The sequence below is a fragment of the Homo sapiens genome, chromosome 3 (genome assembly GCF_000001405.40).
Source record: "Homo sapiens chromosome 3, GRCh38.p14 Primary Assembly".
Taxonomy (NCBI): Eukaryota; Metazoa; Chordata; class Mammalia; order Primates; family Hominidae; genus Homo; species Homo sapiens.
In genome coordinates, this window is record NC_000003.12 from 46,219,222 (window position 1) to 46,232,302 (window position 13,081).

Sequence of the window (13,081 nt, forward strand, 5' to 3'; positions counted from 1 at the left end):
TTTATAACAGCTGCAAAAAATAATATTATAAAATACTTAGGAATATACCTAATCAAAGAGGTGAAAGATCTCTACAGGGAAAACTACCAAACACTGCTGAACGAAATCATAGATGACACAAACAAATAGAAACACATCCCATGCTCACGGACAGGTAGAATCAATGTTATGAAAATGACCATACTGCCTAAAGCAATCTATAAATTCAATGCAATTCTCATCAAAATGTCATCATCATTCTTCACAGAACTAGAAAAAAAATCCTATAATTCATATGGAACCAAAAAAGAGCCCACAAAGCCAAAGCAAGACTAAACAAAAAGAACAAATCTGGAGGCCTCATATTACCCAACTTCAAACTATACTACAAGGCTATAGTTACCAAAACAGCGTGGTACTGGTATAAAAATAGGCACAGGCAGATAGACCAATGGAACAGAATAGAGAACCCAGAAATAAAGCCAAATACTTACAACCAACTGATCTTTGACAAAGCAAACAAAAACATAAAGTGGGGAAAGGACACCCTTTCCAACGAATGGTACTGGGATAATTGTCAAACCACATGTAGAAGAATGAAACTGAATCCTCATCTCTCACCTTAGACAAAAATCATCTCAAGATGGATAAAAGACTTAAATCTAAGACCTGAAACCATGAAAAGTCTAGAAGATAACATCAGAAGAACTCTCCTAGACATTGGCCTAAGCAAAGAGTTCATGTCCAAGAACCCAAAAGCAAATGCAACAAAAACAAAGATAAATAGATGGGACTGAATTAAACTAAAAAGCTTCTGCATAGCAAAAGTAATAATCAGCAGAGTAAACAGACAACCCACAGAGTGGGAGAAAATCTTTGCAAACTGTGCATCTGACAAAATGGTGAATATCCAGAATTTACAAGGAACTTAAATCAGCAAGAAAAGAACAAATAATCCCATCAAAAAGCGGGCTAAGGACATGAGTAGACAATTCTGAAAAGAAGATACACAAGTGGACAACAAACATATGAAAAAATGCCCAACATCACTAATTATCAGGGAAATGCAAATCAAAACCACAATGCAATATCATCTTACTCCTGCAAGAATGGCCATAATTAAAAAATCAAAAAATAATAGATAATAATAATAGATGTTGGCAGGGATGTGGTGAAAAGAGAATATTTTTACACTGCTGCTGGGCATGTAAACTAGTACAACCACTATAGAAAACAGTATGGAGATTCCTTAAAGAACCAAAAGTAGAACTACCATTTGATTCAGCAATCCCACTACTGGGTATCTACCCAGAGGAAAAGAAGTCGTTACAATGAAAAAGGCACCTGCACATGCATCTTTACAGCAGCGCAATTCACAATTGCAAAAATATGGAACCAAAGTAAATGTCCGTCAACTAACGAGTGGATAAAGAAAATGTGATATACATATACCATGGAATTCTACTCAGCCACAAAAAGGAACAAAATAATGTCATTCCCAGCAACCTGGATGGAGTTGGAGACCATTATTCCAAGTGAAGTAACTCAGGAGTGGAAAACCAAACATCCTATGGTCTCACCTATAAGTGGAAGCTATGCTGTGAGGATATAAAGGCATCAGAATGACATAATGGACTCTGGAGACTTAGACGGAAGGGTGGGAAAGAGACAAGGGATTAAAGACTACACGCTGGGTGCAGTGTACACTGCTTAGGTGATGGGGGTACCAAAATCTCAGAAATCACACCTAAGGAACTTATCCATGTAACCAAACACCACGTGTTCCCCAAAAACTATTGAAATAATAAAATAAAATGATGCACATGAAGAATTTAGCAAATAATGTAAACTCAACAAACTCTGTTATTATGGTTACCTAAACTCTGTTAGACCCACCTTCGCCTTAGTGATATTAAGTTCACAACTTGAACTTGGCCACGGAGAGTATTTACACCAAGGAAACTGGAAATTGATGCTATTATATCAGGCATGTTGTGCCTGTTTTGATTCTTCCTCCAGAAAGCTGGTTGTTAACATTTACCAGCACACCATTGCAGAGTACCTATAGGCCATGAATGTACAGGGAAGATGTTTGCATTTCTTTCATCTTAAGTCTTCAAGGACAAATGGATCTGACAACAGCAACAAATACTGTATCTGAGTTTATATAAATCTTTGGTTTCAGCAGAAATAGCTTTTACTTGAATATCTGCTCTTCCCACTAGCAGCTGGGGCCTGATTCCCTAGTTGTAGGGGTATTCCTGCACATGCAAGATGCACCCCTCACATGCCCCCCGCAGCCCAATCCTTCACAAAGAGAGGTCCTGACCTTGGCTGGGCTATGTTTCAAGTCACACAAACAGTTCAAACCACACGGCTCTGCCTGCAGTTGAGGCATCTTGAACCCAATTTGCACTTCCCTTTTCTAGACTTTTAGTCTTATTCCTGTCTTCCTTTTCCCTCTGTGGGTTATTCTGCGGGGTGGGCTATTTTGTTTTGCTTAAGCCTTCATTTTTGAGCTTGCTTTCCTCCAAGAACCCCTGGCAGGTTTCCGGTTGTTGAAATGCACATTCACTTCTTCCAAAGGATCATCCTGTGTTCTTTTGCCCCTTGCAAAGCAGACCTACCCAAGACCACTGAAGACAAAGAAGGGGGTCCATGAAGGAGTGTGTCTGGGCCCCTGACTGGCCGCCACCCCTCACTTAGCTCTGCCTGCCTTTCCTCTTCCCGTGTGCCCCCTAGTCCCTCCCCAGCCCCTCTCTTGCCACTGCTGTCCACACAATTTCCCACAGGCTTCCTCCACACAAACTGGCACTGAAGATTCCCCCTGAGGACTGGGCAGGAGCCCTGAAGGTCAGATAGGCAGGCCTCCCAGGCTGTCCCACTCTCTAGGACAATAAGGCGTGACACTCTCCACATCAAAGGACCCATGTCTGAATTCCTGTTTCAGAGCAGTGAGACAGAGGAAGCAGGACCATGTATCATGCCACACCACCAATCCATATCAACACAGCAGCCACAGAGTATGGCACACCTAGGGCATTCCTGGATGGCCATGGTGGAGGTGGGGAGATGGGGGTTTCATGGGGATAGATGAACTTCTAGCTAGACTGGGCAAGTGATGGGTCCAGTATGATAATCTGGAGAAGTTACAGGGGCTGACAGGCAGCCTGGTTGCGTTACTTTCTCTTATTTAATTTGTCGCCCTCTTGCTGCTGCCTTGCCTCTGAAGCTACCTATCAGGAAGCCCTAGGATTCTTCTTGAAGGGTACTGCCAGGCTAGTAGAGAACTCAGGAGAAAAACCTCCAGAGTCCCTTAATCTTTCAGGGCCCCACCCCACAGATCTAGTGCCCTAGGTCCTGGGCTCTAACTTCAGACATCATGCATGGCCAGGCATGCTGCGCTCCTCACCTTGTTCAAGCAACAGACAATGGCAGCACCTTGCCACAGGCAGCAAGTCCTCCAGCACACCAGACCTGGCACAGCCCTCAGATGCCAGCCATGCCACCTTGGGCATTTTTATTTACCGCTTGTCAGAACCTCAGCTTCCCCACGTTTAAAATAGTGAGAGTAATATTTCTTTCTCAGGATTGTTGCAATAATTAAATATGATTCAATATGTGTCTGGCACTTGGTAAATGTTCAGCCGATGGGAGCTACGTGGCTATTTATTTCCTCATCCTATGCCTCAGTCAAACTGGTAAACATCTGTTGAATGTCTCCTATGTGCAAGAAAATTGTCAAGAAACCCTTCATGCTAAAAAGGGGAAGGAGAAAGTATATTAAGGAAGTGCTCTAAAAACTCCCTGTCCAGGTCCAGCCCAAGTTAACACTTACAGTCTTGCATGCCAAGTTTTAAAACTCTTTTGAGGCCAGGTGTGTTGGCTCACGCCTGTAATCCTAACACTTTGGGAGGCTGAGGTGGGTGGATCATGAGGTCAGGAGTTCGAGACCAGCCTGGCCAATGTGGTGAAACCCTGTCTCTACTAAAAATACAAAAATTAGCTGGGTGTGGTGGTGGACATCTGTAATCCCAGCAGAGGGAGGAGAACTGCTTGAGCCCAGGATGTGGAGGTTGCAGTGAGCCGAGATCGTGCCACTGCACTCCAGCCTGGGTGACAGAGCAAGACTCTGTCTTGAAAACAAACAAACAAACAAATAAAATCTCTTTTGAGTCTGGGCTTACATACAGTCTAATACACAGCATTTTATATCATGTTATCTGTATTACATCTTTTCTCTCCAGCTAAATTGTAAGCTTCTCAGCTGCTGGGCCCATGCCCAATCCTTTTTCATATGTTTTCCACAGTACCCAGCACTGAGATGCATATATATAAGAGGTGGTCAGTGTAAGGACTTGCTGATTAAAGTTGATGCTTGTGTGTGTGCATGCATGTTGTGTACATGCATGCAGGTGTGTGTGTGCATGTATGTATGTGTGACTATTGATAAGTACAGTTTGACCTCTTTTATTCAGAGTGACATTATCACGTGTCACTTGTATCAATCTGTTTTCCCTTTCAGCCTGCCTCAGTTTCAGGAAGCAAGAATTCTTTTGGCTCCTGACAAAGAAGGGAGAGAGACATTTTAGATCCCATGGCTTGCCTGAAACTTGGCCACGGACAGGGTGCTGGTGCAGGTATGGGACATGGATAGAGGTACTAGAGGACAGTGGATGACTTGAGCAGGTTCAGAAACATAAGCCCAGAGGTGTCGGTAAATAGAGTCTCCATCGGGTGTGATCAGGGTGTGCCAGGAGCTGGGTAGAAAGCAGCATGAGTGCCCACAGCCAGAAACAGCTCAGGGAGAGCTCTTTCAAATAAAGGGATGCATATACAAAATCGATTAAATACTCCTGCCAGTTAATAAGAAAAGGACCAATGGCCTCTTGTTTTTTAAATAGGCAAAAGACTTGATTAGAAACTTCATAGATGAGGATATCCAAATAACTAACATGTATGTGAAAATGTGCTCTGCATCACTAATCATTTGAGAAATGCAAATTAAAACCACTGGTTTTAATGAGACGAACCAATGAGACAGCAGCACATAACCACCAGAATGGCTAAAATGAAAAAAACGCAAAACAACATCAACAAAAAACCAAACCCTGGGCCAGGCACGGTGGCTCACACCTGTAATCCCAGCACTTTGGGAGGCTGAGGCAGGCAGATTACCTGAGGCCAGGAGTTCAGGACCAGCCTGGCTAACACCAACATGGTGAAACCCCATCTCTAATAAAAATACAAAAATTAGCTGGGCACGGTGGCTCACACCTGTAATCCCAGCACTTTGGGAGGCTGAGGCGGGCAGATTACCTGAGGTGAGGAGTTTGAGATATCCTGGCCAACATGGTGAAACCCTGTCTCTACTAAAAATACAAAAATTAGCCAGGCATCGTGGCACACACCTGTAATCCCAGCTACTTGGGAGACTGAGGCAGCAGAATTGCTTGAGCCTGGGAGACGGAGGTTGCAGTGAGCCGAGATCATGCCACTGCACTCCAGCCTGGGCAACAGAGCAAGACTCTGTCAAAAAAAAAAAAAAAAAAAAAGCCATCAACAACAAAAAACAAACCCTGACAATAGACAATACCAAGTATTAAAAAGGTTATGAGGCAATGAGAACTCTCACACCATGCTGGTGCAAGTATAAATTGGTACAACCACTTGAAAAATTGTTTAGCAGTATGTAAAGCTAAACATGTGCTTTCCCTGTGACCCAGCAATTCTACTTCCAGGTAAATACCCAAGAGAAGTGCACATAAACCCAAAAGATGTGTTCAAGAATGTTGTTAGTAACTTTATTCATAATAGTCTCAAACTGATAGTCCAAAATTCTTATCAGTAGTAAAACAGATAAATTAGTCATATGAGAGAATACTATATATAGTAATATAAAAGACCAAACTATTGCTACTGCATGCTACATAACCTCATTTATAATGAATTCAATAATGGTCAAAACTGATCAGCAGTGATAGAAATAAAATAGACATGACCTCTATGGAGGTGGGTACTGACTGGGAAGAAGTGCTAGGGAACATTCTGGGGTTCTAGTAATGTCTTGACTGGTGGTTACATGGGTATGTGCACATGCAAAAACTTAAGATTTAGGCATTAACTCATTAGGCATCTTACCATCTCAATCTTTAAATCTTTGAACATTTTTTAGGTAAATTGTCCATGGCATGGTGGCACCTGCCTGTAATCCCAGCTACTCGGGATTACCCAGCTACAATTGCTGGGTTGTATTGTAAGCACGAATTTAGTTTTGTAAGAAAGTGCCATGCTCTTTTTCATAATGGCTGTATTATTTTATGTTCCCAGCTGCAAAGTATGAGTGATTCATTTTCTCTGCATCCTTGCCAGTGTTTGTTTTACTATTCTTTATTTCAGCCATTCTGATAGGTATGTAGTAACATCTCATGGTAGTTTTAATTTGCATTTCCCTAAAGACTAATGATATTGAACATCTCTGTATGTGCTTAGTGGTTATCTGTATATCCTCTTCAGTGATATGTCTGTGCATATCTTTGACCATTTTCTAATTGGAATTTTTGCTTTTTTGCTTTTGAGTTTTGAGAATGCTTTATATTCTAAACAAATATTTTGTTAGATATGTTGTTTGCATTTTTGAGTTACTTCTTGTATAAGGTGTGAGGTTTAGGCTGAGGGTCATTTTGTTTTTTGGTTTATCTACGAATGTACAATTCCTCAAGCACCATTTTTTGAAAAGACTATCCCTCCATTTAATGGCTTTACACCTTTGTCAAAAAACAGTTAAGCATATTTGTGAGTCTAGTTCTGAGTTCTCTATTTGTTCTTTGATCAGTATGTCTATCTCTCTGCCAATATCACTCTATCTGGATTACTGTAGCTATATAATACGTCATGAAATCAGGTAAGTGATTCCTCTCACTTTATTATTGTTTTTCAAAATTATTTTAGCTATTCTAGGTCCTGTGACTTTCCATATAAACTTAAGAATAATAAGCTTACAAATGGCTATAAAAATTTCACTGGAATTTCTATAATATAAATTTCCCTAAACCTTGGATTAATTTGGGGAAAATTGACATCTTTACTGTTGAGTCTTCTAATCTATGAACATGGTATATCTCTCTATATTTATTTAGGTCTTCTTTGATTTATTTTATCAGCATTTTGTAGTTTTCAGCATGCAAGTCATGTACATACTTAGCTAGAGTTATACCTAAGTATCATCTAAAAGCTTTTTGGAGCAACTGAAAATGGCACAAAAATTGTTAATTTTGGCTTCCACATGTTCCTTAGTACATATAAATGTGATTGACTTTTGTTTCCTGGTTTTGTTCCTGCAATCTTACTGACCTTGGGATTTTCTATGTAGACCGCTATGTCTTTCCTAAATAATAGGGACAGTTTTATTTCCTCCTTTCCAATCTGTATGCCTTTTATTTATTTTTCTTGTCTTACTGCACTGGCTTAAACTTCCAGTTGAATAGGAGTGGTGAGAGTAGACGTCCTTGCTTTGTTCTTGATCTTAGAGGAAAACATTCATTCTTTCTCCATCAAGTATAATGTTTTCTCTAGACTCTTTGTAAATGCTGTTTATCAAGTTGAGGAAGTGTCTTTCTATTTTTAGTTTGCTGAGTGTTTACCATGAATAGGTGAAATATATATATATATATATTTTCTTTTTTAATTGAGATGGAGTCTTGCTCTTTTGCCCAGGCTGGAGTGCAGTGGCATGATCTCGGCTCACTGCAACCTCTGCTGCCCAGGTTCAAGCGATTCTCATGCCTCAGCCTCCTGAGTAGCTGGGACTATGGGTGCATGCCACCATGCCTGGCTATTTTTTTATTTTTCGTATTTTTAGTAGAGACAGGGTTTTGCCATGTTGACCAGGCTGTTCTCAAACTCCTGACCTCAGGTAATCCCAGCCCCTGCCTCAGCCTCTCAAAGTGCTGGGATTACAGACCTGAGCCACCACGCCCAGCTGAAACATTTTGTTAAATCACTCTGTCATAGATATTTTATCTATGTCAATATTCAACAAACTAGTTTTTCTGAATTGTTGAATTTATGATAATAAAGTAGTTCATAGTATTCTATTATTATTCCTTTTAATGGCTGAAGAAGCTGTAGTAATATCCCGTTTTATTTCTGATATTGGTGATTTATGTCTTCTCTTTTTCTCTTGTATGTCTTGCTAGAGGTTTATCACTTTTCTTGATTTTTTTGAAAAACTGGCTTTTTGTTTCCTTGCCTTTTTTTCTCTTGCATCCCTTGTGATGGAAGTTTCTTTGATTTTTATCTACTGTTTTTCTGTTTTCAATTTTATTTATATTTTCTCTTTATTTTTGTCTCCTTTCTACTTGTTTTGAGTTAATTTTGCTCTGCATTTTCTGGTTTCTTGAGGAAAGAACTTGGATTATTGATGCGAGACTGTTCTTTTCTAATGGAAGAATTTAGCGCTGCATATTTTCCTCTCAGAACTGCTTTAGCTACAGCCCACATACCTTGATATATTATTATTTTGTTTTCATTTAGTTCTGTATATTTTTAAATTTCCTTTGAGACTTCCTCTTTGACCCATAAATTAGTTAGAAGTGTTTTTACATTTTCAAGTGTTTAGAGATTTTCCTGTTATCTTTCTGTTATTAAACTTTAGTTGATTCCACTTTGGCTTGAGAACATACTTGGCATAATTTTAATGAAAAAACTAAAACCCTGCATATGGTTTATCTCGGTGAATGTTCCATAGGTACTTGAAAAAGTGTATTCGTTGTGAAGGTATCTACATTTTATATGAAGCCCCTTCCTAGTCAACATACCTAGAGAAGATTTGTATGACCAAACCTTGACAATAGGAAGATAACATCCCACACTATACAGCAAGCCTTCCTGAAAATCCCTGTTTAACATTTCTGTCTTTCCTTCCCAAACTCTTTCCCACCTACTGCCCAGTTTGTGGTCTTTTTTTTTTTTCTTCCTCACAGTCCCACACAGCCTTTCCAATCTCACTGGGGACACCCTGGTCTTTCTTCCTAGATCTTACATTGTACGCACACCCCCTCCCACTCTCTCTATCCCTGTTGTTACAAAGAGAAATTTTTTTCTCTCTAATTTTAAAATTTGCCTCTTCACCCATCATCTTATAAGAATTTTATCTGAGTCACCCTTCTGTGAATGCAGAGGCTATAGTAAATAGCGAGTAACTTTCCCTATCTCTTAGTGCTGAATTTGACCCCACCCTTGTATCTGTGGTGCACATGTCTTCCTGGCCATCTGCCCTGAGGTCTAAGTTGTGAAATCCATCTCCTCTAATCCTTCTATGATCTTTTAATGATATGACATAATCTTCACGTTCTTGGTACCCAGACTTATTTTGAAATCTGCTGGTGATATTCAAGGCTCTCATGGAAGGAAAAAATAAAACAAACTACAATTGGTTTGTTCTGCCCAATGTTAACAGCACAGGCTTAGGAATTAAAAATACCTGTGTACAAATCTATTCTCTGCCATTTGATAACTGTACAAACATGGTGGGTCATATAATCTTGCGTTGCCTTAATCCTCATCTGTAAACTGGATATCTACAGACTTGTGAGGATACATGTGATGATGCATGATAAAACACTTGGCATGTGCCTGCTCATCAGATGATAGTTATTCTTTTCATCTGTTCTTTCTCATGTTACATCTGCTATGTGTATTCTTACCATGTGTGTGTCATTTGGTTGTTGTGCTTGCTATTATCAAAAATGATAATGTTATGTGTCAATGTCTCTTTCTTCTTCCTCTTTCTAGCTTTTCCTTTCCTGCTCAGCTAGCTATATGCATATGTGAGAGCTTTGATAGCTTGTGGGCACATAGGTAGACTGTATTTCCAGTCTCTCTTGCATGTGCGTGTGGTCATATCACTGAGTTGCAGCCAATGGGATATAGATAGAAGTGATATGAGCGATTTCCAGGCCAGCCCATAAAGCCCTTTCATGAACATTCTTTCATACTGTCTCCTTCCTTTGGGTGGTGCAGTTGTATATGTTGTGATCTCAGATGCTAACTCTTGTGATATCAGAATCACAATATGAAAGGTGCCTAGGAGCCTGTATTAATGTTTATCAATCCTGATTAGCTTTACATGATCAATGAATACACTCCTAAGTGTTTAAGTCCACTGTACATTTCAGAGTTTGTTTTTTATATCATTTTCTTAACAAATATAGAAATTGGTACCTTGAAGTGGGATGCTGACATACAAAAACCTAAAATGTATAGCATTGATGATATAAATTGCCTTAAATATTCAGGCTGTGGGTTGCAAAGAAACTGAACTTAAGGACTGGAAAGCCATGGTTGTCTGGAGTTGGGGGTGGAGGGCAGGAAGGACTGCAAAGGGACACAAAGAATCTCTGGTTGGGGGAGGTGACAGAAATATTTTGAATCTTGATTATGGGAGTTATTTAACAGATGTGTACAGCTGTCAAGATTCCTCAAATCACGGACATTAAATTGATGTAGTTTATTATACATACATTATATTGCAATAAGTTGTTTAAAACAACAACAGATCCCATACATGGTAAACTCCTTATCTTAGATCATGATCCTGGATGCTGAGGTGAAGATTCGTGTGCAAGGAATATATTAAGGAAATGTGCTGAGAAAAAAAAACAGCATAGGAGTCAGAGAAGCAGGACAGAGAGGGAGGAGGCCAAGTAAGAGCGTGGTCCCAGGCAGAGCCCTTAGGGTAGCCCTTATCCCATGAGTGGACGCTGGACTCAGGAGCATTAGGTTATGCCTCAGAGTCTATTCTGACACAAGACAAGGAAGTTGGAGAGATTCCTTCTGGCTCTGTGGGCAAAACCACTCCAGTAGTCAGAGGGCAGGTCTTGATAGAATCATAGGTGCAAGCAGCTGGAAGCAAAAAACATGGAAACAGAAAGGGGTGCATAGGAAAGGTAAGAAGGACTCCACAGGGTCCAGCAGAGCCCCACCAATATCCATGACACTCTCCTTCTATAAGGAGGACTCATTCTTTTCTGTAATGAAGTCACAATATGCAAGTTTTCTTCAGATTTTCTTTATTAAAGAGAAGTGTAGAATTAAAGCAGAGGTGTCCTGACATAAAATTCAACTCCTGAATTTTGGACATGGGCCTCTGGAGTGGAATGGAAAGCCTGGAGTGAACAGAAATACTCCACCACCCACCCCTCAGGCCACCTGGTCCTATGTAACCCCTCATGCCACATCAACGGACCTCCAGGAAGGCAGCAGGCAGAGTGGTTAGGGCTGGGTACTAATCTGATAGAGCTGGATTCCAGGACAAGCCCCACCATTTTTTGCTTGTGTGATCTTGGGCCCGTTGCTTAACAAACTCACCTCAGTGCCTCCTCTGTGAACTGGTAAAAAGAAATGCACTCATCTCCCAGGGTCACTGAAGAGTTTGAACAAGACAGGGTACCTAAAGCCCTTAGCAGAGGGCCCAGCCCCCTCTGACGATGTAAATGCAGCCCCTCCATCTACCTCCTCGCCCCGTCCTCCGGATCACTGTCCTAGTTCATGAGCCTGGGTGCATTAAAGTCATCTTTATCGGTGTTAAGGACCGAGGCACTTTTCCTCCACCCTCCACACTGGCCCTCTGATCTTTTCCAGGGCAGGGACCTAGGCACATGTTTTTATTCATTCAGGATTTGTGCTGCTCAAAACAGATTTTGATCCGTTTTTTGTTTGTTTTGTTTTTTGTTTGTGTTTTTGAAGGTGTCTCGCTCTGTCGTCCAGGCTGGAGTGCAGTGGCGCGATCTTGGCTCACTGCAACCTCTGCCTCCCGGGTTCAAACGATTCTCTTGCCTCAGCCTCCCGAGTAGCTGGGATTACAGGCACACACCATCACACCCAGCTAATTTTTGTATTTTTAGTAGAGAAGGGGTTTCACCATGTTGGCCAGGATAGTCTCGATCTCTTAACCTCATGATCTGCCCTCCTTGGCCTCCCAGAGTGCTGGGATTACAGGCATAAGCCACTGTGCCAGGCCCAGATTTTGACAAGTTTTAAAAGTGCCCAGATTAATCTTGTGGATGAGATGCAAAACAGCACTCCATATGGAAATGGGCTGTGCACCCCTCCCTACATGACTTTCTGAGAATCCTGATCGCCACTGCAGTTTATAGAAGGCTCCAAAACACTTTATTACTCAGGTGTGAACAAAGCAGAGATTACATCTTCCCACAATAAGAAATATTTCTGGTTGTTACTTGTAGGAAAAGGAGCGGTTAGCTTCAATATCTATTATCTATCTATCTGTATTAGTCAACGAGCACAAAGTTTCAGTTACAGAAGATGAATAAGTCCTAGAGATGTACTGAACAGCATGGTGCCTCTAGCTAACAACACTGCATCGTATACTTAAAAATGTGCCAAGAGGGTAGATCTTACGTTAAAGTAATAATCTTGATAAATAGGACAGGAGGAAACTTTTGAAGTGATAGTTGTGTTTATGGTATAGATTATGATGAGGGTTTCACAGGGGTATATTTCTCTCCAAACTCATCAAGTTGTATAGATTAAATATGCACAGCTTTTTGTATATTATACTTCAATAAAGTGGTTTTTAAAAAAGATCCATTATTCATCCACCCCTCTTATCTTGTTTCAGGAGAAACAAGATCTATTGATCTATCCCATCTCTTTCCCTGCCCCAATGTCTCTCTTGCATTTCCAGGGGCCCATGTGACAGTGTGAGGTACCATGGAAATAAGAACTTCACATATTTTACTTGGGTAACATTATATGAATTTGTTCCTGTTTATTGGAAGTGCATTGTTTTTGCATTTAATTAGGAAGTATTTTCCATATCCTGGGGAGAAAAATGTATTTTCTGCATAATTTCTAAATCATTGTTCAATTTTTTTCTTCATCGTCATATTTATTTACTGAGTTTGATACTAGATTTTTGATGTTCTTATAAAAAAATGAAAATGAGCAAAATGAAACACACAGAATGGTTAGAGGAACAAGCAACAACACAATCCCTCACGGGAATGCCCTGAAGGAATATGTTGAAGCTAATTTGAACATGAAGGTTACGTCTGTCCAGATCTCTAAAAGCAGCCAC

The 13,081-nt window shown here is 40.5% G+C and overlaps 1 protein-coding gene across 1 annotated transcript in view, besides 1 other annotated feature; it reads left to right on the forward strand.

Annotated features, from left to right (window-relative positions):
* CCR3 (C-C motif chemokine receptor 3) overlaps positions 1–13,081 on the forward strand; it is a 56,011-nt gene that overhangs the window by 8,526 nt on the left and 34,404 nt on the right. The gene's annotated exons all lie outside the window — the stretch shown is intronic.
* Positions 2,447–2,616: an enhancer, noted in NCBI's record as "experimental_70326 CRE fragment used in MPRA reporter constructs". NCBI's record gives its function as "activates a minimal promoter by MPRAs in K562 erythroleukemia cells, with activity observed for the non-introgressed 3:46263244 variant allele {active_cell/tissue: K562}" and the evidence as "EXISTENCE:reporter gene assay evidence [ECO:0000049][PMID:34662402]".